This window comes from Homo sapiens, chromosome 20 (genome assembly GCF_000001405.40).
Source record: "Homo sapiens chromosome 20, GRCh38.p14 Primary Assembly".
Taxonomy (NCBI): domain Eukaryota; kingdom Metazoa; phylum Chordata; class Mammalia; order Primates; family Hominidae; genus Homo; species Homo sapiens.
Window position 1 is genome coordinate 62,704,615 of NC_000020.11, and position 24,947 is coordinate 62,729,561.

General features: G+C 56.0%; 1 protein-coding gene across 1 annotated transcript in view, besides 6 other annotated features; it reads left to right on the forward strand.

Moving 5' to 3' along the window:
• Nucleotides 3,186–3,699: an enhancer, noted in NCBI's record as "H3K4me1 hESC enhancer chr20:61339152-61339665 (GRCh37/hg19 assembly coordinates)". NCBI's record gives its function as "activates a minimal SCP1, AML or CMV promoter by ChIP-STARR-seq in naive H9 embryonic stem cells {active_cell/tissue: H9 hESC(naive)}" and the evidence as "EXISTENCE:reporter gene assay evidence [ECO:0000049][PMID:30033119]".
• Nucleotides 3,700–4,212: an enhancer, noted in NCBI's record as "H3K4me1 hESC enhancer chr20:61339666-61340178 (GRCh37/hg19 assembly coordinates)". NCBI's record gives its function as "activates a minimal SCP1, AML or CMV promoter by ChIP-STARR-seq in naive H9 embryonic stem cells {active_cell/tissue: H9 hESC(naive)}" and the evidence as "EXISTENCE:reporter gene assay evidence [ECO:0000049][PMID:30033119]".
• Nucleotides 4,222–24,947, forward strand: part of NTSR1 (neurotensin receptor 1) — a 53,936-nt gene continuing 33,210 nt past the window's right edge. Inside the window, exon 1 of the mRNA NM_002531.3 lies at nt 4,222–5,307. Within this exon, the coding sequence (NP_002522.2) occupies nt 4,594–5,307 (714 nt within the window). The 5' untranslated portion in view covers nt 4,222–4,593. The remainder of the gene's footprint in view (nt 5,308–24,947) is intronic.
• Nucleotides 4,422–4,968: an enhancer, noted in NCBI's record as "H3K27ac-H3K4me1 hESC enhancer chr20:61340388-61340934 (GRCh37/hg19 assembly coordinates)". NCBI's record gives its function as "activates a minimal SCP1, AML or CMV promoter by ChIP-STARR-seq in naive H9 embryonic stem cells {active_cell/tissue: H9 hESC(naive)}" and the evidence as "EXISTENCE:reporter gene assay evidence [ECO:0000049][PMID:30033119]".
• Nucleotides 4,969–5,513: an enhancer, noted in NCBI's record as "H3K27ac-H3K4me1 hESC enhancer chr20:61340935-61341479 (GRCh37/hg19 assembly coordinates)". NCBI's record gives its function as "activates a minimal SCP1, AML or CMV promoter by ChIP-STARR-seq in naive H9 embryonic stem cells {active_cell/tissue: H9 hESC(naive)}" and the evidence as "EXISTENCE:reporter gene assay evidence [ECO:0000049][PMID:30033119]".
• Nucleotides 16,760–16,952: a silencer, noted in NCBI's record as "fragment chr20:61352726-61352918 (GRCh37/hg19 assembly coordinates)". NCBI's record gives its function as "represses an EF-1alpha promoter that drives an FKBP-Casp9 reporter gene in an ReSE screen in HepG2 liver carcinoma cells {active_cell/tissue: HepG2}" and the evidence as "EXISTENCE:reporter gene assay evidence [ECO:0000049][PMID:32094911]".
• Nucleotides 18,780–19,319: an enhancer, noted in NCBI's record as "H3K4me1 hESC enhancer chr20:61354746-61355285 (GRCh37/hg19 assembly coordinates)". NCBI's record gives its function as "activates a minimal SCP1, AML or CMV promoter by ChIP-STARR-seq in naive H9 embryonic stem cells {active_cell/tissue: H9 hESC(naive)}" and the evidence as "EXISTENCE:reporter gene assay evidence [ECO:0000049][PMID:30033119]".

A 24,947-nucleotide genomic window follows, 5' to 3' on the forward strand; every position in this document is an offset into this window, starting at 1 on the left:
ACGCCTGCTTCCTCTTCTGGTTCTTCCCTGAGAACACAGCTCATGTTTCCAGAAAGCTGGCCAAGGTCCAAGGGGCGGCCTGGGAATGTGAAGGACAAGGATGCCGATGACTGAGGCTTGATCAGCCTGTAGCACAGCCCCCAGAATCTGCCAACAGCCCCAGAGATGCCTGGAGCGCAGCCAGCGTGAGGCTGGAAAGCGGCTCCGCCCTCCTTGCCCGCCTGCGAACACTCACTGTGCGTACACATGTGCAGGTGCCGCTCTGTTTTTAAAGATCCTCCTTCGAACACCGTCCGTCCTGGAACACGTGCAATTTCCATGCTGTGGGTGGGAAAATCTATAGCCAGGCTCTACCGATTATGTTTATTACGTATCTTCTGTGCCTCTAACACATCCACGTTTCTGCCCCACCCGCCTTCGTCCTCATAGGAAACCAACTACTCTGCCACTGACATAATAAATGCCTGTTGTTTTAAGCCACTGAGTGTGGGGGCATTTCGTTATGCAGCAATAGATAACTGATTCAGGTGTTATTGTCAACTTAATTTTTTCAATTTTAATAAGAAGCCTTCCTGCTAGCAAGAGTCACCCAACAGCGGTTGGGGGCCTGAGGGAAGAGAAGGTTGGAGGCTGGAGAGATGGTGGCTCTCCTACATTTGGAAGCCTGAAGCCTGCTGCAAACCAGTGACGGGTTTCGCACATCCTGCTGGCATGGCCTCATCCTGTTCACCATTGCATCTGCTCCACTAGTGCAACACAAACCCAGTGAGCGCCAACTGAGCGTTGGAGGGACTCAGGGTAAGCTAGCCAATGAAACAAGCAGGGACCCCCACCCGTGCCGGGCAGTGTTGGAGGGACTCAGGGTAAGCTAGCCAATGAAACAAGCAGGGACCCCCACCCTTGGGAGCGTGCTTCCAAGGACCTCTTGTGTGGTGACTCTTTGGACGTGATTGTCACCCCAGGCACAGATGACTACCTTGCTTGGTAATAAGGACATGCCTCGCTCACACCACTCAGGAAATCACAGAAAGCCAGGCTGTCCCCAGCACACTGGCTGCCCCAGCTCAGCACGCCTGCTGCACCCTAGAATCACAGCCGTGCCCGTGGACCTCGGTCCTCGCTGCCCATGGGACCGGCCGGCTCCTCAACAGGCAGCATTGGGAGTGTTGGGATCGGGGCAGCAGGTCCCCAAGGCTCTCCAACTTGCAGGAGACACTCGCCCCCGGAGCCCTGCCCCCCACAAGGCGTGCCCGACTTCACGTGTCAGTGAAGGCATCCGGCTGGCCAAGGGTGTGGCTGCATCCCCAATGGGCATGACCGGACCTGGCCTGTCCCTTCCCAAGCACCTCACCGGCACTTTCTTTAAAGAGTCTCAGCTGTTTAGGAAGGGCTTCTGTCTGCAGAAATCAGAAGAGAAAGGGGCAAACAACGTGGAGTTAAGAGCTTCCAGCCGCTGAGCCATCCGGTTTGTGAGTGCACAGAAGAGCTCAGAACGGCCGAGCGGCGTGGCTGCCAGGGGTCCCCACCGGAGGCCTGCCATCTGCCTTGTGTAGAACAAGGCCTTCCAAGTGACATTTTCCTATGTGGTTTTAAGCAAATGCTCCAACACAATATTTGCACTATGTTGCCTTTTATGATTTTGTAAGCTCCCAGGCCAACTCACAGATAAATCTTTGAAAATAAGGGCAGCTTAGCCAAAAGGTCAGGGGTTTAAAAACCAAACAATGAGCTTAGGCAGAGGGAGAGCACAATCGCTGCATCCTCCTGCTTTGGCTGGCAGAGGGACAGACTCCAGTGGCCATTGCTGTGGACTTCCTCTTTGTGGGGGTCTCGACAGAGGCGCCTGATGGCCCAGCCCGTGGTCAGGCCCCAGTGTTACCAAGACAGTGGTGAGCGCCTGGACCTCACACTGTCCAGCACCTGTACTCCCTGGCATGGTGTGGATGCTAAGGTCCCCGCCCAAACCTCTGTACTTGGCCGGGCGCAGTGGCTCACGCCAGCAATCCCAGCACTTTGGGAGGCCAAGGCGGGTGGATCACGAAGTCAGGAGATGGAGACCATCCTGGCTAACATGGTGAAATCCTGTCTCTACTAAAAATACAAAAAAATTAGCGCCTGTAGTCCCAGCTATTCGGGAGGCTGAGGCAGGAAAATGGCGAGAACCTGGGAGGCGGAGCTTGCAGTGAGCCAAGATCGCGCCACTGCCCTCGAGCCTGGGTGACAGAGCGAGACTCCATCTCAACAAATAAAAAAAATAAAAAAATAAAAAAACCTGTGTACTTAACTGGTGAATCGTGTCTTCCAGAGGACAAATCTGGCCTACTCCAGCCTATTCTAGTTGGATGGAACACCTCACCTCACACCCGACAGCCCATTCGACCTCGTTCATTCCCCGTGGAGACCCATCAGTAACAGCCCTGCCCTTCATTCAGCCGCTATTCCCATTTTACAGACGACTCAATCGAGGCACAGAGACGCTAAGCACACTCGCCCAAATGTGAAGTAGCAGGGCCAACATTCAATCCTATCTACTGGCTTCCAGCAAAGGGATCACTGGCGTTTCCTTTGATGCCAAGATTTCTAAGCTCTGATGTTTGTGAGCTGCAGCCCCCTGACAAGAGTATCAGGCTCCGGTTGAACAGAGAAGTCCAAAGCAGGGCGAGAACGGACGAATAATCACAGAGTCCCGCTGCCAGCCACCGGCTCAGAAGCCTTGAATTCTCCTAGCTGGGCGGGCCCGGGAGGGGGTTCCTCAGCCTCCCGCTTCCCTCAACACCCTGCGACCCCCGCCCCAGCCTGCCCAGGTTTCCTGCTCCCAGCACAGCAGGTGCAGCCAGCCATGTGCACAAAGGCCAGGCTGGTTCCCTGGGCTGCACTCGAGCAGCTCCTCCCAGCCCTGCACACATGGGGCAGCAGCTCTACCCAACCTCTCCCAGGGGTTCTGGGGAGGAGGGAGCAGGGGAGGGGGCGGGGAGGGCCCAGAGAAGGGACAGTAGTGCCCTGGGGGCCCCTGGGCAACCCAGACATGGAGGGGGGGGCAAGCTTGTGCCTGGCCACCTATGCCAGTGCCACCAGGTGCTGGGGGGGACACGGAAAGGACAGGAATCTTGCCCTCACCTGGCTCCCGAGCCAGGGGCCGGGGCACCCTGTGAGGACACTCAGAGGGAGGGAGTGTGCAAAGCCTGCAGGGCCTGGGAGGATGCGTGCTGGGGCTGCCTCTCCCAAATCCTGCTGGGGCGCAGGCTCTCAGGGTGGCTTCTGATGACAAATCCAGGCAGTAATAAGGGGCCCAGGGCATCACATCCCATAGCGTCATGAGACCAGCCCAGGGTGCCAGATGCAGGGCCCTGAGTGGGGAGGGTGCTGCTCTGGGCACCTGCTTTCTGCCCTCCCTCATTCACCCCTCCCCAGACTTTGATGAAACCATCTGTGGCTCCCGGCCTCTGCAGGACCCAGCCCCTCAGCTCCTCAGCCCCTGCAGGTGTCCCTCGGTACTGCCTCACGCCATCCTGCCCCAGGTGATAACTATGCCCTGAGCCCCCACCATTTCCACTGGGCACATCCCAGAAATACGCATTCACAGACCAGGCACGCCCATGACTGCGGCCAGATTTTAAAAGGAATCACCAGAAATGTAATCTCCAGTGGTCCTAGAGCCCCCTGGGCACCCAGCTTCTGGCACCCTGTGGACACCCAGGAGTGGGGGTCGGCCCAACCAGCTGCGCAGCCGCCCAGCCCTGCCAGCGGGGAGCTTCCTCCCTCCCTGCCCTCCGGATACACCCTCACCCCAACTGAGCGAGCCCAGGGTTGGGGGAGGTGCATAGTTCCCTTCCTAGCCGGTGCGAGAAATTGCGGAGAACAGGGAAGAGGGTGGCAGGAAGGGTCTGGTGCACGATACCCGCCGCGCCCGCTCGGAATCCTGGTTCCCTGGAGCGCTCACCCCAGCCCGCCCTGCCCCGGGGAGCGCGAGGGGGCGACCCGCCAGGCTGCACCCGGGCGGGGCGGGGATGGCGGCGGGGGCTGCCTCCCTCCTCCGCCGCCACCCCCCACTGCTGGGCGCGCCGCGCGGCCGCCGGCTCCGTGGAGACGCGCAGAGCCGGGAGGGCGCGGGCGCGGCGGGAGGTGTGCGGGGCTGGGGTGCGCGGAGAGCGCGAGGGAGGAGATTCTGAGCGAGGGAGGGGAGCGCGCCCGGGCAGCAGTGCGTGCGCTCCTCCCGGCGCCACAAGCTCGCCCCGCGCAGCCCGAGCCGGGCTGGGCGCTGTCCTCGGGGGCCTGGGGAACCGCGCGGTTTGGAGATCGGAGGCACCTGGAACCCGTGGCAAGCGCCGAGCCGGGAGACAGCCCGAGGAACCACGGGTTCTGGAGCTAGGAGCCGGAAGCTGGGAGTCCGGAGGAGAGCGGAGCCCGGAGCCCGGAGCCCGGGGCGGCGCGTCTGGGTCTGGCGCTTCCCGACTGGACGGCGCGCCCGCTGGTCTTCGCCACGCGCCCTCCCCTGGGCTCCCGTTCATCGGTCCCCGCCTGAGACGCGCCCACTCCTGCCCGGACTTCCAGCCCCGGAGGCGCCGGACAGAGCCGCGGACTCCAGCGCCCACCATGCGCCTCAACAGCTCCGCGCCGGGAACCCCGGGCACGCCGGCCGCCGACCCCTTCCAGCGGGCGCAGGCCGGACTGGAGGAGGCGCTGCTGGCCCCGGGCTTCGGCAACGCTTCGGGCAACGCGTCGGAGCGCGTCCTGGCGGCACCCAGCAGCGAGCTGGACGTGAACACCGACATCTACTCCAAGGTGCTGGTGACCGCCGTGTACCTGGCGCTCTTCGTGGTGGGCACGGTGGGCAACACGGTGACGGCGTTCACGCTGGCGCGGAAGAAGTCGCTGCAGAGCCTGCAGAGCACGGTGCATTACCACCTGGGCAGCCTGGCGCTGTCCGACCTGCTCACCCTGCTGCTGGCCATGCCCGTGGAGCTGTACAACTTCATCTGGGTGCACCACCCCTGGGCCTTCGGCGACGCCGGCTGCCGCGGCTACTACTTCCTGCGCGACGCCTGCACCTACGCCACGGCCCTCAACGTGGCCAGCCTGAGTGTGGAGCGCTACCTGGCCATCTGCCACCCCTTCAAGGCCAAGACCCTCATGTCCCGAAGCCGCACCAAGAAGTTCATCAGCGCCATCTGGCTCGCCTCGGCCCTGCTGGCGGTGCCTATGCTGTTCACCATGGGCGAGCAGAACCGCAGCGCCGACGGCCAGCACGCCGGCGGCCTGGTGTGCACCCCCACCATCCACACTGCCACCGTCAAGGTCGTCATACAGGTGAGCCTCAGTAACCAGCCCCGGGGCTCCCCTCTCCTTCACCCCAAAAGCAGTGCCAGTGGTGTGCCTTCTGGGTAGGGAGTGGGAGAGATGTCACAGAGACAGTCTACTCCTGCGAGGCTGGGAAGGCGGTTGGGGCAGCTTGGGGGCAGCTCCAGAGTTGCCAGGCTCAGCCCCTATCTTCTTCCCTCCTGTTGAGGGGATGGAGCCCCTGCCTGTGACCTCTCTGGTGTTGGTGGCTGGGCCTCGGACATCTCTGAATTCCTTAAGCCTAATGGAAACATGTGCGCTGGCACCTGCGTCTCCAAAGGAAGAGTAACACTTTCATCAGCTTCTCAAAAGACTGTGCCACCAACAGGTGATGTTCCTTCCTCTGCAGAGAAGCCCCCAGACTGGCTCTGCCGGTGCCTCCCAGCTGCCTGCCCTGACCCAAACTTGGGAGTCAGAACAGAACCTGATGCCGTGTTGGGCCAGTTCCTAGTTTAGCCTCAGCTTTCCCATCTGTGTGATGGGGTAGTGATAGCATTGACCTCAGAAGGTAGAGCATTGGAGAGAGGACGCGTGGGAAGTGTTTGCATGGCCCCTGACACATAGAAGGGCTCACAGGCACTATTATTGCGGGATGGTGGGGACGATGTTTCTGCGGGGAAGGTTGTGAGGATCTGCGTGTGGCGGCGGTGTTGTGGTGAGGTGTGTAAAACTGGAGCCGAGTGACTAAGGGCCCTCCAAGGGTCTGAGCAAAGCGCCGTGGGAATGCGGGTGGGAAGCCCCCTTGGGAATCAGTTTGGCTGAGGTTCGTGGCACGGGGGGTTCCAGTGCTGGAGGGGAGGGCTGATCAAACCAAAGCCCCGAGCAGGAGGCTGGTGTCCAGGGAGGAAGTCAGGGCCGGTCGGGAACTTTGAAAGGCATCTTGGAAATGAGCAGCCTTAGAAGTGTGGGGTTTCCTCCATTTCTGGTGGGCTAAGGAAGCCAGAGGGTGAAGGATCCGGGCAGAGTCGCCTACCTCTGCCCAGCTAGAGGGGCCAGGGTGGCTGGCTGTCCCCCCAACTCCCCACACACCAGCATCGCCAGCCTCCCAGCTAAGCTTCTGTAGTTGCCTGGGCACCCCGCGTATGCCAGTATGCCCGGTGGGGGTGAGGGCAGCAGTGCCGGGCAGGGGGTCACCTGTCTGTCACTCCCTGGGCCCTAACTGACCCTCCACTGGCCACCACCCAGGTGGGCTGGGGGGTGGAGGAGGGTAGAACTGAGCTCCCAGTCTCCCTGGCTGCACATAGAACTGGTGGCTACAGGTGTCCCATCTCGGGGAGGCCCCTCCCACAGACACTGGTGGCAGGCAGTGAGTCAGGGCTGCTTTGCTTCTGCGGCGAGAGTCCCTCCCCTCACCAGAGGCAGAAGTAGGCACGGCCTGTGGGGTAAACACAGTGAGAAATGACCTCTCCCTCCCTTTGAGGCTTTATCTGCTCTCCCCAAGCTCCTGTCTTTGATTGGCATTGGCCAGGGGGAACCTCTCCCCAGTCCGCGTGGAGGGGCCCCAGGGGCGACAGCCACTCAGTCCTTCAGAAGGTGGGCAGTGGAGGGGTCAGCGCTGTCACTGCCCACCCAGGAGATGCCCCCACTCAGACCCCGGATCCCCCCACTCAGACCCCCGATCCCCCCGCTCAGATCCCCGATCCCCCCGCTCAGAACCCCGATCCCCCTGCTCCCCTGGCAAAAGGCCAGGAGCTCACCAGCCTCCTGCAGTCCTCAAAAACAAACAGCCGAAAAGCACAGGGGCGTGAGGACAGCTCGGCTCCGCCCCCCGGAAAGTGTCCTCCCCGCGTGCGTGGGCTCTCTGCCAGGTACTTGGGATTGGGCACCTGGGGGACATCACTTTGCCTCCCAAAGCACCACCTGCCCAGCCTTGTTGCTCAGAGGCTGCGAGGCAGATTTGGCCAAGTCACGCTACGGCCGGCCACAGGCACTCGTCCAATCGCAGAGGCCTGTGACGTATCAACCGTAGGACAGCGGCCCCACGCCCTGCAGACGCCATGCTGGCCGAGCGTTGCTGAAGGCACCCTTGGAGAACGTAGTTTCCATTTTTCTTTAAAGGGCTCAGCTGCGTGCCTGGGAGCAGCTGATTACAAGGGTGCTCCTCCATCCGATGCTGATGACCTGGGGCTTTCCAGGGCCCCGATGCCAGCTGCTCTGTGTGCTTGAAAAGAACATTCCTCGTAGGAGAGGCCTTGGCTTCCCCTGACCCCTGCCCCGCCATTTGCCATTTTATGAAAGGTTTCCCCGGAATTAGGGGGTTTACGGTCCCCACGTGGGCTTCTGGGCCATTGGCAGATCTGGGCAAACATCCACGGTTTTCAGATGGTGATGTCTGGCTGAAGAGGGGCTGGATACCCTGAGCTAAGTGTCTCCCTCTCAGTGACCATGTTTGGAAGTGTTGGGGCAGTGGCCAATCAAATGGCCCCTCTTTCCAAAACAGGGGTCCTTTCCTGCCCCAGCGTCTCCTACGAAATTTTGGCCTGGGCACTTGCAAACAGAAATTGTGTTTAGAAATGAGGTGGTTCAGTGATAACACTTTGGAGCAACTTACAATAATCCTCCCTGAAGCCAGCTGGGCATTTTCCTAGTGTGTAGCTGGGACTGGGAGTTGATGGTGGAGTGGGCAGGGCTCTCAGGTCAGCAGACAGGACCTGGTGCCCAGGACCCTCCCAAAGGCCCCAGACCTGGCCCTGGTGCCAGCAGGGTGACTGGGAGGAGGAGCTGGGGGCTCAGGGACCTACGGGTGCCCCTGGGTTCCCCTGGACTGTCCTACCCATCCTCTAACCCACCCGCACACGTGGCCCCACACGGGCAGATGGCCCTTGCTTCTTGGATGGTCCCCCATGGCCCAGGCCCAACCTCCAGCTCAGCTTTGACCTCGGCTGTGACAGGGTCCCAGTGGCACACGATCTGTGTGGCAGGGCTCAGGGCTGATGGCCCAGATGGTGGGTCATCAGAGTCCCATGCTTATCTGTCATCTGTCCATGGCGTGTATACTGAACGTGTGCACACATGTGTGTGTCCAGGGGCCCACAGTGGCAGGGGCCTGGGACTTCAGGTGTCCGATTCAAATCAGATGAGGTGGCTGCAGCCTTTGAAACAGTTTTAGAGACCCGCCCCTGACTATGGCCACACACGAAAGCAAACCCTCCCAGCCTCACAGGCACGAGTCCATTAGACCCTCCTGAGCAGCCGTGAGGACTCCTTTCATCATTGCCATTTTCTGCACCAAGGGAGTCCTGCTCCTGCAGGCTCAGCCTCCCTGCCTCCTCCTTGTTTTTTCTGAAAGCCTTCTTCATATTGAGTACAAACAGCAGTGCTCTTCGCTGGGTTAGACCCCAACTCAGAGGGCACCTGCTCCCTCCCAGGGGCAGACAGGGGCCTCAATTTGTGCAGGAGGCGCTGGTGTCCTACAACCCCTGCTCCAGAGGCGTCCAGGAGCAGACAGATCACAGGGCGACTTGGCAAACACCCCAGCCGTTCAGGGCTGGCAGAATTCCGGGAAAGGAGAGGCGGCTGAGACAGGGAAGGAGACAGGTTCCAGTGAAATCTGGCCATGGATTATTTCAGGGCTCCTGTCCCGTGCCCCAGGCTGTGCCCAGCAACCTCCACAGGCAGCATCCTTGTTCTTAGGAAGGATACAGAGGTGTTTAGAGTGTGGAGTCTGCAACTTATTCTCAAATCATTCAGAAAGAAAGGTGTGGCCAAATGGAAGGAGAGCAAGCAGACAGTGAATCAAGGGAGGAGACTGCTTGCGGGTCATGCGGCATTGGGCTGCAGCCCTGCCACAGGCAGCTGAGTGTCCTGGGCATTCTTCCTGCAACTGTTCTGCAGTAGGAACTTTTTCAAGTTAGAAAGTTGCAGAAGGCCGGGCGTGGTGGCTCACACCTGTAATCCCAGCACTTTGGGAGGCTGAGGCAGGCGGATCACCTGAGGTCAGGAGTTCAAGCCCAGCCTGGCCAACATGGCGAAAACCCATCTCTACTAAAAATACAAAAATTAGCTGGGCGTCGTGAAGGATGCCTGTAATCCCAGCTACTTGGGAGGCTGAGGCAGGAGAATCGCTTGAGCTTGGGAGGCGGAGGTTGCAGTGAGCCAAGATCACACCACTGCACTCCAGCCTGGGTGACAACTGTCTCAAAGAAAAAAAAAGTTGCAGAAGAAGTTCTTCAAGGGGTCCTTAGGAACAGCCTGCTCCACTCTGACCTCCCGTGAGGACGGGAAGGGGACCCACGCCACGCAGCTGTGGGCAGCTCTGGCTCTGGCCGTAGCGGCCACAGTGTCCTCACCTGCAGCGCAGGGCATAGAGGGCTGTTGGTGTGGGGCCAAGAGTCACACACTTCCTCCAGTCTGAGCCCATGACCCTTTAGAGGAAAGGAATGGAGTATTTTTCCTGCCTTTTCTATTCAAACGGTACTTTAGAATAACCCAAGAGTAGATAAAAGGCAGTGTCTCAGCCCAGAAATGTTCATCAATAAGTGAAGAAGGAGCAGGATGGTCAGAATACCACCCATCAGGTGCAATCCTCATAAATCAATGGATGTAGGCATGGATTCTTGACAGCTGCTGGGGTCACGAAGGGGAGAGAGTTAGGTGTGAGGTGAGCCCTGGTGTGCACACAGCCTCGTGGCATCCTTGGAGCAAAGCCATTGAATCTGAATCTCATGGAGCCCCTGATCCAACACACAGGACACACCAGGGACAGAGGAACAGGGACAAATGTACCATTAGGATGCAGCCAGCAAAACCCAGACCACAAGAAACAGCTCCAAATAAACAACTCGTTCTGTTCTACAAACAGTGAGGGAATCGGAGACGGTGGCCTGGTTTCTTAGCAAAGACTCGGACAAGTCAACCTGTCGCAGAAAGCCGGCACCAAAGCTGATCATTCTTCCTGCCAAGAAACAGCAAAAAAGCCTAGGTAGTGAATAGCTACAAATTCTTGTTGTCCAGAGCTGTTGTGGGTATGGTTTTCAAAATGGTCCTGCTCTCTTAGAGGTACATGCGGAAATGTTTACAGACAAAATGATGCAATGTCTCAGATTTACTGAAGCGTGATCTGGGGGAAGGGGCTGTGGGAGGGCTACAGAGGAGACAAGATTGGTCTTAAGTCTGTAATCATGGAAAGTGAGTGTTGATGACATTTTTGGCATGTTTGAAAAATTTAGTAATTAAAAGTTTTCAAAAGGTTAAGGTGCTATATGTTGGAAATAAAGAATTTGGCGTATGAAATCACCGTTCAGATGGTGACTCTGAGGCTGTGGGGGGTGAGAGGGCAGGACAGGGAGGTGACCTTGGCCTTGTTCCAGGCACCAGACCTGCCTGTTGGAGCCAGGTGGGAGACGGCAGGGTGAGGACGTGCAGACATGCGGGTCCACCTCTGTACCCCGTAACCCCGTTTCCCAGATGAAGCAGAGGGCAGAGCCACCTGTGCACATCACGTGGCTGGAGAGAGACAGGGCCTGGAGGTGCTCTCAGAAGGGAAGGCCTAGCCTGACCCTGTGGTGCTCCCCGTGGGGACAACGGTCAGGCTTTTGAGTGAGATGGGCAAGGGTGGGAACGTGAGGGGCCCAGAGCTGGCCATGGCTGGCTCTGACTGGGCTTGGAGTCCTCGAGAGTGACTTGGCCCAGAGTGGTTCAGGCTCACCTGTTCACAGCTCTGCATTGTGACCCGGGGTCAGCTCTCCCGGGCTGTCCTGCACTTGGACTGACAGCATTCTGAGGATGTTCAACTCCAAGGACAAATGGGGTCCTGGGGCTGTGCCTGCAGTTCTGTGGGTACTGAGGGCAGCAAGGGGGTACAGCCACCCTGTGCTTGCCAAGAACCACCACAAGCCACCCCACAGGTGAGGCAGGCCTCAGGCAGCAGCCCAGGGATCTCCAGGTCTGTTCTCAGGGGCACTGGGGCTCCCAGCTGGTAACATCTGATGATGGGCAGAGAGGGCCCTGGGCTGAGCAGGGCCCGAGAGGACGTCCGACCTGTGCACGAACCAGAGGCTGCCTTCGTTTTTCTCAATCAAATCTCACGTGGTGATCTAGTAGTTTGTATTAAGAGAAGAAAGAAGCTTTTCTTTATTTTTGATTCATGGTGAAACACACATCACTTAAAATGTGCTGTTTTACCATCTGGAAGGGCACAGTTGAGCGGCGTGAAGCACGTTCACATTGCTGTGCAACCGTCGCCACCATCCACCTCCAGAACCTTCTCTCTCCCCAGACTGAAACTCTGTCCCCATTAAACCCTGACCCCCAGCGCCTGGTAACCTCTTTTCTGCTTTCTGGCTCGGTGAGGTGGATGACTCAGACTGGCAGAATCTCAGGCCTCCCCTGGGTCTTCTCTAAGATGCAGGTTCTTGAAGGCAGGCTTGCTGCTGAAAGACGCCAGACTCCAAGGCCCTGGGTGATTCCAAGCACTTGAGGTTCTGGACAACGCTGAGCCGTTGGGACAGGAGGAAGGTCGGAGGAGGGGTGGGGTGGCCATAGGGGCGCTGGGAACTCTGGGGTGACGGAAATGTTCTGTATCTTCGTTGTGGATCATAGCTCGTGGTTTCAGCGCGTTAGTCCCGCCTCCGTGAGTCTGTGTTGGTTGTGGTTCAAAGCTCGTGGGGCTGTAGACTGAGGGGTGGATTTCAGCGCGTGTTAGTCCTGCCTCCGTGAGTCTGTGAAAAACAACAGCAGCAGAGAGTGACCGAGCTGCCGTCCGCTCAAGGCTGTTTCGGGTGGCCAGGTCCTCCCTCCTGTGGGCCTGTGTGCACTCAAGATCGTCCTCCCCTGGACGGCCATGAAGGGCTGTGAAGAGCATGAGCCCCCATCCCGGCAGCCCCTCGCTCCCTGACCAGGCTGCTGCCTGCACGAGGCTAGCTCTGCAAGGGGGGCACGGAGGGGAATAGAGATCCTGGTTCTTGGCGCTTGGTGGGGATGGTGTTACTGAGGTCACAGCCATGGGGTCTGCCTGTCTCAGAGACCCCCACTGTTCCCCCGCCATGCCCTGGAGTTTGACCTTGCCATCGCCAGTGAAGGCGCAGTGGCCAAGGGGCTGTCCCCGTCCATGTGTCACCCCAAGGGGAATGCACAGCTCCGGAGGGGGACCACCGGGCTCTGCAGCGTCAATGAAGAAACTGAGGCCCAGAGCGGGGCAAGGCGCCTGCCCCACCCTGGTGCCCACTGCTCTTCCCAAAAGCATTGCCAGTGGGGCACCACCCACCCCAGGAGGGCAAGGTGAGAGCCCTGGGTCTGGAGTGCCACGTGGACCTGGCACAGGTTGGAGAGGGGAGGTGCCCAGCATGCTGACCCACCCGAAGCCACCCGTGCCTACTTTGGGATTTTACATCCCTGTGCACCTGTGGGGGCTGTGTCCTACATACCCAGGGCTGGCTCCTGAAGGCAGTCAGGGAAGCAAGAAGGAGATCAGGAGAATGCTTCCCGAGAATAGGTGGTTTTGGGTTGTCCCCAGTGGCTTGGAATGGCTGGCTTGCCAGAACCCAGGTTCAAATCCCAGCTTCACCACTGGCCAGCAGCACGACTCTGGGCAAATGGTGTGACCATCTGTGCCTCTGTTTCCCCATAAGCCAACTGGAGGTAGCGATTGCCCTGCAGTCTCATGAGTTAATGACATAAAACGCTGGAGACTGTGCCTGGGGTGGAAGAAGGACTCAATCGCCCATGAGCATGATTTGTGTTCTCCCCTGGACAACGGCAGAAATGCAGCAGCGCTTGGGAGGGCTGGGAGCCTCCCCAGGCAGGAGGAATTCTCTTCTGAGCATCTGGGCTAACATCTTTCCTTCCTTCCTTCATTCACTCATCATTCATTCACTGAACACCTACCACATGCCAGGATGGGGGTATAGCAGCCCAAAAAAACTGGCAAAAAGTTCTGGCCCTTTGAACTCACGTCCCATCAGAGAAGACAGAAAATAAGCGAAATAAATAGGCACCATACATGGCCGGCAAGGAGTAACGAGAGCCGCAGAGAAAACCACACGGGGGGAGCGTGGGGGTGCAGGCAGGTCAGGAAGGCCTCGTGCAGACCCTGCAGGAGCACTCCGGTGGGCGTCGGGGAAGATGCCAGGTAGGGGAACAGCAGGTGCAAAGACCCCAGGGCAGGCACGTGCTGGGGGTGCTGGAGGAACAGCGCTGGCCTGGCGGGGTGGCCGGAGCGGAGGGAGCAGAGGGCCGTGTGAGAAGCCACGGGCAGATCATGCCTCGTAGACCTCGCCACAGCTTTTATTCTGGAAGAAGTGAGTGGGCGTGGGAGATTCTGAGCAGAGCCGCCACGTGACTTACACGTTAAAGGGACAGTTCTGACTGCTTTGTGGAGAATGCATTTAGGGGTCAGAATGGTTGGGAAGCTGCTGCTGGATGCCTGGGGAGTGACCAAGGAGTCCTAGGCCAGGGTGGGGGTGGAGAAGGTGGCGGAGAGGGGTTGGATACCAGAGACGTGCTTTTCGTTGTTCCTACTTCATTTTTCGACTGACAGGCAATAAGATTCCCTTCTGTGCTTGTTCGCACCTATGAGCTTCGATAAATGCAGCCATGTATCCCCACTTCAGAAGACACACCGGCCCCCGCCCTCCAGCCCTGTGGCCCACCCGCCCCGATGCCCGCCCCTCCACCCACTGGTCCGCTCTCCTCCCCCACAGCTTTGCCTTTTCTGGGACGTCGAGTGAATGGAGCCAGCTGGGCTGTGGCCTCTCGAGCCGGCCTTCTTCCTTCACTGCATCCTCTGAGCTGTTGCCTGCATTGACCAGGCGTTCCTTTTTATTGTGCAGTCAGATCCATTCTGTGGATGGACCACGTTTTGTTGAGGCATTTGCCCACCAAAAGACTTCTGGGTTGTTTCTGGGTTTGGGCGATTATGAATAAAGTAGCTACAAATATTCACATATGATGAATTTTGTGTGAATATACATTTTCATTTCTCATGAGTAAATACGTAGGTTTCAGATTGCTGGGTCATACAGAAAGTGTATGTTTGCCAGTGTTTCCTAAGCGATGCGCTGTTTTGAACGTCCCTCACCCTAGCCTTAACCCACATGAAGCAGTGGTCACTCTGCATCCTGGCCAGCTCCTGGTCTTGCCTCACTGCTCTGGCTATGACGTCCAGTATGATGGTGAATAGGAGTGATGAGAGTAGACATCCTTGCCTTGCTTCCAGTCCCTTTTTTTTTCTTTCAAAAAAAAAAAAAAGTTTTTCGTTTATTTAAGTTTTTGTTAGAGCTCTTTATAAAGTTAGGAAAGTTTCCTTATATTCCTAGTGTGCTGAGAGATTTTTTTCTTCATCGTGAATGAATGTTAAATTTTGTGCAGTGATTTTTCTGTCTCATCATGTGGCAAGATCATGTGGATTTTCTCCATTAGTCAGTTAATGTGGTGAATTATATTGATTACTTTCCAGTTGTGATAAAATGTACATCACGTAAAATTTACCACTTTAATCAATATAAGTGCACAGTTCTGTGGCACTAAGTACACTGTCACATGACCATCTCCACCCTCCCTCTCGGTACATCGTCATACGATCATCCCCACCCTCCCTCTCGGTACATCGTCATGCGACCATCTCCACCCTCCCTCTCCAGAGCTCTTTTCATCTTTCCAAACTGAAGCTCTGCGCCTGTTAAACACTAACTCCCCATCTCCTCCTCCCCCAGCCCCTGGCAACCGCCATTCTACTTTTTGTCTCTGTGAATTTGACCACTCCGGGGGCCAAATATAAGTGGAAAACCTTGGTTAATTCTTGAATGATGAACCAGCCTCACATTCCTGGGATAGACCTCATTTCGTCGTGTATTAGCTGGTTTTGACTTGCTAGTGTTTTGCTGAGAATTTTTGTGTCTATGCTCATGAGAAATATTGGTCTGTAAGTTTATTTTCCTGGGTTATCTTCATCTGGTTTTCTGGCCTCATAACATGAGCTGGGAGGTTCTTGTTCCTTTTGTGTTTTCTGTCAGAGGTTGTGTAGAATTGGCATGATTTCCTCTTTAAAGCTTTGGTAGATTGTCCAGCAAAACCATCCGGGCCTGGAGTTTTGTAGGAAGGTTTTTATAAATTCAATTCTTTTCAAAGAAACCAGGTGTAGTGGTTCAGGCCTGTAATCCCAGCACCGTGGGAGGCCAAGGAGGGTGGATCACCTGAGGTCAGGAGTTTGAGACCAGCCTGGCCAACAGGATGAAACCCTGTCTCTACTAAAAATACAAAACTTAGCCAGGTGTGGTGGTGGGCACCTGTAGTCCTGGCAACTCGGGAGGCTAAGGCAGGAGAATCGCTTTAACTCGGGAGGTGGAGGTTGCAATGAACCGAGATCACGCCACTGCACACCAGCCTAGGTGACAGAGCGAGACTCCATCTCACAAGACAAATTATTTTAAAAGATAAAGGAATATTCAGGTTATATATTTCTCCTTGAGTAAGTGTTAGTAATTTGTATCTTTTGAGGAATTGGTCCATATAATCTATTTTGTCAAATTTTAGAGCATAGATTTATTTGTGGTATTCTGTCATCATCCTTTTAATGTCTGTGGGGTCAGTAATAGTGTCTCCTTGTTCATTTCTAATATTGGTAATCTGTGACTTCTCTCTTTTCTCCTTGGGCAATATGGCTAGGATTTTATTAACATTATTGTTCTTTTTCAAGAATGAGCTTTTGATTTCATTGATTTTTTTTCTATTGTCTTTTAGCTTTCAATTTTATTTATTTATATTTCTTTCTTCATTTCCTTTTTCTGCTTGCTTTGGGTTTAATTTGCTCTTCTTTTCCTAGATTTCCTAAGGTGGGAGCTTGGATTATTGATTTAAGATCTTTATTCTTTTCTAACATAAACATGAAATGCTATAAACATCCTCCTAATTAATGCTTTAGTGGCATCTCAAAATTTTTGAACATTGTATTCTAATTTAGATCAAAATTTTTTTATATCTTGAGATTCCCTCTTTAACCTTTGTGTTATTTACAAATGTGTTGTTTAGTTTCCAAATGTTTGGGATTTTCCAGATATTACTTTTTTATCCATTTCTAATTTAACCCTATTATGTTTAGAGAACAAATGTGCATGATTTAAATTCCTAATTTTGTGAATGCTTGTTTCATGGTTTAGGATAATGGTCTATTCTGGTGAATGTCACATGCACACTTGAGCAGAATGTGCTGTGCTATCATTGCTGGGTATATTATTCTATGAAGGTCAATTTGTTGGATAGTGTTATAGTATTTAATTCTAGAATTTTTATTGGTTCTTTTAATATAGTTTCTTTTTGTCTTTTAAGAACTTTCATTTTTCCATTTATTTCAAGAGAGTTACCTTTACCTCAAGGAGCATGGTTGTAATGCCTGCTTTAAAGTCTTTGTCTGGTAAATCCATCCTCTGGGTCATCTTGAGGGTGGCATATATTGATTCTCTTTTCCTTGAGAGTTAGTCCCATTTCCATGGTTCTTTTTCTGTTAAGTAATTTTGAATTAATTCCTGAACATTTTGAATTTTGTTGTGGTTCTTTGGGTTATGTTAGAATCCTCTGGAGAGGCAGCCCGCTTGGTCAGAGCTGCCGCTTTTGTCTCACTGTCTGTCCGTGGTGGTTCCAATGCAGGCCTGTTTTTGGGTCTTTTGCTGTTCAGCCATTCCACATGAAAGTGCCATTCAGGGGCAGGCTTAGATCTTGGAGATCGTTTATATCACAGCGGTTTTCAAGCCCTTAACTATAATTGTTTAGGTGTGTTCCTCATATGTGGTAACTCCAGGACTTGTGTTGACTCATACACAGAACTGGGGGATCCCCTTGTTCAGCTCTCACCTCTCTGAGATTTCCTGTCACACTCTCTAGTTTCCAGGGATCCTTTCCTTAGGCCTCCAGCCAGGAAGCCCGAGTATTCCATGTTATGTCCTCTGCTGACTTCTTTAGATCCACTTCTCTGTATTTGCTCTTGGAATGGTTGCCCTGGAATATCAGTATGCCTCTGAGTGGACTCTGAGTGCTCAGAGTCTGATCAGATTCATATCATGCTGATTTACACCTGACACCTCCTGCTTCTCACTTCCACCTTGATGTCTGTTTCAATGGACTCATTTTTTTCTTGTCAATGGGTCACATTTTACTTTCTTTGCATATCTAGTAATTTTTAACCTATACTAGACCTTGTAGATGACACATTAAAGAGACTGGATTGTGTTGTGTTCCTTTGGAGAGGGTTGATTCTTATTTTAGCAGGCAGTTCAGTGGCAGACTCGTCATCTTGAACTTGGGTCGGCTTGGTTTCATGCTTAGTTGAGTAAACAACTACGGAAAGCCCAAGGCATTTTCCAATATCCCTTCTCACTTGGAAGAACTCAGTGGGCACCTTCAGCCTCCTCTGTGGATTCTGTCTTAGCTGGGGTGGGTTTGGAGGCCTTGCTCTAGGGCTTCTCCATCCTCCTGTGTCATGGGCTTCCTGGCATCTCTGTTGGCTGCTTCATGTGTTAATGAGACTTCTTCCCCCTAGCTCTGCCAGGATGCCAGCCACCCTCTGATAAGCCTTTCGTGGCCTTGTTCTGTACACGCTGGGCCAGCACAGATCCCACAGGAAAGCCGGTGTAGGCTTCTGAGGACCGTCACCATGCAGTCCCCCTCTCTAGCACCTGGCTCTGCAGATGTAGCCACAGCCACAGCCCGCATCTCTGATCTCTGCCTCCTTGGCTCAGATAGTAACGTTCTGCCCGGACCTCAGCTCTTACGTCTCCATCAGGAAACTGTCCCCAAACAGAGGCATGGTGATGATGGGCTCACCTTGTGAGTATCCATGCCCTTAGGGACCACAGTCCTGAGGTTTGTCCAGGGTCTGAAAACAACTGCCTGATACATCGTGTACAATTTTATAGTTGTTTATGGCAGGAGAGCTAGTCCAGTACCCCTGGCGAAAGTCATCCGTAGATTTTAAACACTGCCTACTTTCAAAAAGATCTGAGGCAGCTTATGATAAAAGGCTTGGGCTCAAAGGAATTATTAAAACAATGTTACAAAAGAACACAGAACAAAGAAATAGAGTTATCCAAGAAACATGAGTCTGAGGACAGCCACTGTGTTTGAGTAAATCTTACACTGAAGCTTATGAAAAAGAGCAACATTATTTGGACTTAAACATTTTTAGCCTGTTGTCTGTGAAAAGGTGAACTTACTGTAAATTTCAGTAACTCTCCTTTGACATATTTAAAGGTTAAGAGAATTATTTCAAGAGCCTTGTTTTCTTATAATTCAAACACGGTTCCTCTCCTTAAAAACTCACACTTCCAGGCTCTCAGCATTCAGAGAGTACGGGAGCTGTTTGGGAATCATTCCTGCTTGGGCATCACTCAATTGTAACTGCTCACAACAGCCGTGGGATGCTGCTGTCTGGGGTGTCACTTCCCAGTTGATTGGCAGAATCACGAAGCCCCCGGCTCCTGCGAGTCAGGGAGGGACCGCAAGTGTGTCTGGGCCGTGTCACTCCGGAGCTGCGAATAGAGCCGTCCGGAATGTGCTGGTCAGGAGCCAGGGCAAGGAACGCTCATTTGTCCACCTGTCGACTTCAGGCTGCGTGCCCAGCAGGATGTGCACAGTAGGAAGCGGCTGTCGGGGGTCACTATTTATTGCCTGGAGCTGAGGGATAAGCCATTCCATCTGGGCTGACCCCATGGTGGAGGACCAGATCCAGGATCCCTGGTCCAGGGCTCACCAGCATTTCCCATCACCACTGCCCTGCCCTGCACCCTTAAGACACAGAAGCTGCCAGTGGGGACAGAGGTCTTTCCAGCCCAGGGACCTCCTCAGACACAGCAGCCTGAAGCTCCTCTCTCTGGCCTGTCCTTAGTACAGGGAGCCCCCAAGCACGGGGCTTTATTTCCTCTGCACCTGTGATGGGCTGAGGGAGTCAGGGCCGAGCCAGCGAAACACTGGGGTTGCTTTGAAGCTGGCTTCAGGTGAACACGCTGACCCCCTGGGTGGTCTCCAGGTGGTCTTCCTGTGGCAGCAGGTCAGGCGGAGGCAGCAGCCTCTGGGGCAGGAGGCAGAGATGGGAGGGGCCATGGGCAAGAGGTCTGGCAGCTCTGTGTCTGCCCAGTGGCTTCAACCAGCTTGTAGGAGGCAGTGGGGAGTGGCTGCCCAAACGGCCCCACTGTCCCCACAGGCCTGGCACAGGGTTGAGGGTCCAAGATTCTGCCCCGCTCAGAAGTTTGCTTTGCCAAAGTGGCCCAAACTCTCAGGGGACCCGAGCCATGACCTCCCAAGTCCTGGGAGGAGCCAAACTGCACCCAGACCCCAGCTCAGAGGGCAGCAGCTCTCAGCAGAGCCCTGGGACAGTGGGGCCCCTGCAACCCCAGAGGCCCAGACGGTTAGGGACAAACACTCAGATGCTAGTGCAGTGACCTGGAAGCATGCTTCTAACCAAAGGAAGCATGCCTGGAACAGGGAGGGTCCCCAAGGCCCCTACCCTGGCGAACCTGCCACAGACTAGAAGCGGGTAATTGCAGGGCACTCAGACAAGGTGCAGGGCACCCATCAAACTTCCTGCAGTGGATTTTCCTGACAGCTTCTTCAAAAGGAGCCCATCTAATGTATTAAAAATAACTGCATTTGTGTCCGATCAGCACAGAGATGCTCAGAAAGCCTCCAGTTAAAACCAGCGGGGTGGAGATCTGTGTTTTGACAGCTCCAACCCCAAATACCTTTCATGCTTCTGCCTGTCAGGAAGAACCACAGAAACCCCGAGGGTCTCCTGGGCAGGCACTGGTCTCTTGGGGCTGCAGAGGCTCAAAACACAGAAATGTGTCCTCCGTGGCTCTGGAGGCCTGAAATCAGGGTCCCAGGCCCACACTCCGCGGAGGCTCTAGGGAAGGACCCTTCCTGCCTCCTGCAGCTCCTGGAGGCTCTTGGCATTCCTTGGCTTGTGGCCGAATCGCTCCTTTCTCTGCTTCTGTCTCCACGTGGCTTCCCCCTGTGCGTCTCTGTGTCATCTAAGGATACTGGTCATTAGATTTAGGGCCCACTCCGATCCAGGATGATCTCATCGCACAGTCCTCAGTTACATCTGCACACTCTTTTCCCAAATAAGGTCACACAGGTTCCAATGGACGTATCTTTTCGGGGCTACCAATTACTCCACAACACCACAATTCAAGGGGAGAGGCAGCAGGCACCAGGCCTCCTCTCCCGGCAGACAAGTGCTCCCCAAGGCACAGGATGGGGCTCCCTGGCTCCTGGTGGAAAGCAAGCACCAGAGCCCCAGATAAGTGCAAGGGGAGGAACAGGAAGGGGCTGGAAGGGCTACCCCAGCCCCCAGCCCCAGCTCAATTGCCTAGAACAGTCCCAAGACCAGCATCATTCTGGCCTCCCTGCAAGGGGGAAGGAAGAGGAGCAGGGGTAGGAGTGACCTTTCACAGCCACCCTGGCCTCATCCTGTGGGGCCTCCAGCCAGGTGAGGCCATGCGAGACACAGTGGGAAGCGGGAGGCGGGAGGCGAGTGGGCTCGGGGCATTTGCCACCCTCTGCCGCTGCACTGTCGGCCCCGTCTCCCCCCCGCTGCCTTCCGGTCCCATCACTGCCCACTCCTCTTGCTCCCTGGGGGATAAGGTGGAAAGAGGTCCCCTGGATTCAAGCCTTAGAATCCTGCAGCCACCCAACCGGCCACCCCATCTGTCCACGCCTCATCTGCTGTCCCTGAGCTCAATGTCTTCCAGCTGCTGGTTGGAGGTGCCAGCTGGTTCCTGCTGGGTCCGTCTGACAGTGGCACAGGGAGGTTCAGGTGGGCACAGACGCCGCCGCCTCAGCTCTGAGTGTTATTGGTATCACCCCCCACCTTGAATCCCAGCAAACCAAGAGGAGGGAGGAGGACGGAGGGAGAGGGAGAAGAAGGGAGGTGGAAGAAGGGGGAGGTTGGAGGAGTGAGGGGGAGGGAGGAGGAGGGAGGCTAGCAGTGCCCAGGATCACCCAGCCCAGGAAGAGCGTGGAAAGGTGGCCGGCCCTGGCTTGAGGGTGGGGGGACTCTGGGTGGCTCTGCCCTGTACCCTGAAATCTCTGTACACCAACCTCATGGGCCAAGAGATCTGCTGCCCTGTCCCTGCCCTGGGGCTTGACCAGAATGTCGGGGGCAGCATTTGGGGTAGAATAAAATGGACATGCTCACCTGCCCTTGGGGTTCGCAGCCTCCACCGGGTCACCGGCAGCTCCATTCCAGCCCGAGGGGTGAGCAGCCCTTCCGAACCGGTCTCAACCCTTTCTGTGGGGCTGCCATTGTCCTGATTCTCTCCCCAAAATTGTCAGCTGGGATCACCTTGCAGAAACCCAGTTAAAACCCAAGCACAGGACTCGGAGGAGACAGATCTCCCAAGAGGCTCCAGCCTCCAAGAGCCGGCAGATCGGCCTGCGTCTGTCAATGGAACTGCTGCGACTATTTGTCCATAAATAAAACCTGTTTTCATTTCTCCTGCCCTCAAGAAACTGCTGCTCTCCGAGACCAGGCCCAGGAGTGTGGGCTGCTTAGAAAGGAAACCCAAGAGGCACCAGCAGGACCTCGCTTAGCACGGCATCCCCACTGCCTGCCCACCGGTCCCCAGGAGAATCAGCCATCCCAGGCATAGCAGGCTTTAGGATGCTGAGATTGCCTGGGCATGCTGGCTGGTGCCTGTGGCCCCTGCCTGGGAGGCTGAGGCAGGAGAATCGCTTGAGCCTGGGAGGTCAAGGCCGCAATGAGTCGTGATGGCACTACTGCACTCCAGCCTGGACGGCAGAGCAGGAACCTGTCTCAAAAAAAAAAAAAAATGGTGGGAATGGCTTCACAACTGTGGAGTGCTTTTCTCATTTTACTAGGTGAGGAGGAACAGGTCCATGCTCCCCGAGGCACAGGCACCTAAGACAAGCCTGGCCCCGGCCGCGTTAGTGGAGAAGGCTACAGATGGCCAAGATGCTCACAGGACGGGCACTTCCTGCCCAGGATTCCAATGTGGCCCCATCCACACTGGGATGGTTTTGAGAACCAGGTGACGGCAGGTGCACCTGTCCTCTGAGCCCCATCTGGAAACTGCTTTGTGGACAACCGTGGCCTTGGATGAAAGGGGTCCTTGCCAGAGCTTGTGGGGTGCACAGCTGGAGGAGAAGGGTTTCTGCATCACCTGTTTTCATTGGTTCCAAGGCTCAAGGCCCTCCTGGAGTCCCCGAGAGACCGCCTCATCCGCCTGGGAAGCGGGTTGCCTGCATAAGCCAGGGCAGGACACACCAGCCCCACACAGGAGCCCGTGAGGGCTCCGCACTGCCCCCACCCTGAGCCGGGCTCCTGCAGGCTCCCCGGCCCCACAGACCTGTCACCACGTAGATGCGCTCTCTCCGGCTCACAGGGCCTGAGGACAGGGTTTCCTCTCCACCCTCAGGGAGCAGCAAGGGCTGGGTGGAAGTGGGGGGTCCCAGCAAGTCCCAGCCCAGAGTGCCAGGAACAGGTGAGCTGGAGTGAGGAGTGAACACTGAAAACACACAGGCTGTCACCGCCTGGGGCCACGGGTTCTGCCCCAGAGATAGCGCCAGCTGGACTGCCGGCGGGTCTGGAGCCACCTCTGCACCTTGCCCGGCCGCCGGGCTCAGCACCGGTCTAAGGAGAGTCCGCTGTGGTACGGCCGCTGGGCAGTGGCTCTGAGCCCTCCGCCTCCAGCATCGAGGTGACTGAGGGGATAGCACAGAGAGGGTGGCTGGACGTGGATTTCCTGGAGGGGAGGCGGGAGTGCCTGAGCCACAAACAGGTTTCATCACAAAACCTGTGTCTGGCGTGGTGGCAGGGGGACCTGTGGGCTGAAAGCAGCAGCCCCTGGATCAGCAAATGGCCCCGGCCTCAGAACTGCACAGCAGCGGCCACCAGGGCCACAGCCGAGGGCCAGAGTGGGAGAAGAGCAAGGGCAGGCGGGTATGGGTGCCATGGCAAGGGTGGGGCCAAGTGGGCAAAGGGACAGACCTGTGTTCCCGGCGCTCCCGGCGTGGGCCGACCCAGCACCTGGGGCCTGCACTCACTCACCTCCTGTCACAGCAGATGGTGCTGGGGACCCAGCGAGGCCTCAGGGCTGCCCCAGGCCCACGGTGCCTGCAGGGCCAAGGAAGGGCCAGTCTAGGCCCGGCCCCATCATCTGGCTCTTTACTCCCCCTCCTGGGGCTCCTTATGACCACAAGGACGAGCCTTGTGGATGAGGGGTGTGGACTGGACAGCAGGGAGGGCTTCCTGGAGGAGGGGCTGAGTCGGCTTTGAAGTCAGGGGAAGGGAGTGGTGCACAGGTCCCCCCGAGTCTCCCAGCATCCGAGCCTTGATCAACAGGAGGGAGATGGGTACCTTGGGGTCGGTGCTCTCTCTTTCCCTCCCCGGCTACTCAGCTGGACCCCAGGGTCACCTCCTCCATGAAGCCCTGTTTCCCCATCCCTGCGGTCAGTGTGTGCGGCAGCCCCACCCTGAGGAGGGGGTGGAGCTGGGTGGGTGCAGACACTACTGGTGATGAACAGACAGACGTCCCCGCAGGAGGGGACGGAGCTTCCGTTTCCAGCACCAGCTTCATTCCCGGGGATTTTTACTGTTCAGTTTCTAAAAATGGCAGAAGTTCATTTCTTAACATCCCCTTGGCAAGGCTGCTTCCATTTCGGTGAAAGTGGAGGCCGTTTGTGGTTTTCTCTGCCTGCCGGAGGCTGGGCCACGGTGTCTGCGGAAGACGCTGTGTGCACAGCTGGGCTTTCTTTGTGTGTGCCAGCATTGCTCAGGAAGGGGAAGGAAAAGGAAACTGAGTCGCGAAGGGCAGGCCAACACCCGGAGGCCAAGCAGGTTTCACGGCAGCCACTTCTGCCAAACGCCAGAGGCACGTCCACCAGGTCACCTGGACAGCCCAGCCAGGTGCCCACCCAGTTTCTGTCACCTGCACCCAGAACCGGCCCTCAGTGGAGTCCTCGCTCCAGACAGAGGGGCTTCAGGACACTGAGAAGGGTCTTGGGGTAGATTCTTTTCTGAAGGAAGCCGGAGATGCTGAGTTGGAAAGGGACCCTAAGACTGTCCCCTGACCCCACCCAGCCCTTCCGGCGACACTCAGAAGAAGCTGCTGGCAAGAGCCAAGAGATGGATGTCCAGTCCTCGGTCTGTGCACACCTGAGGGGCTCGTGCCCTGCAGGGAGCTAAACCTGAGACTGAAGCTGTATCCAGACACACTTACTCACGGCATGTCCCAAATGCCTGACACCCACAGATCCACCCAAGTCTGCTTCTCTGCTGTGCCTGCAGCCCCCAGGAGTGGCTATCTGCATGGTCAAAGCCACTCCTCCCAACTTGGGGGCTCCGGGAGGAGGGCAGGGTGGGGAGAGAGTAGCTCCCTGGGAGCCCCAGGGTGGCCTGCTCAACACAGGCTCTGTGGCTTCCAGCCCACTGGGGAGAGATGAGACAAAGGGAGAATGGAAAGATCTGGAATTTCTTTCGTGCATGGAGCGGGGGCAGTCCTCAGAAGCACAGCCTGAGACAGGGATTGTGGTGCAGGTGATGGATGGAGGGTGGGCCCTCAGGGGAGGAGAGGGAAACACAGGTGACACAGGTGTAGCTCAGAGCCTTATAGCCTCAGGAATCTCCCCCAGGGGTGCTTCCAGAATGCAGACCCCAAGGCTCA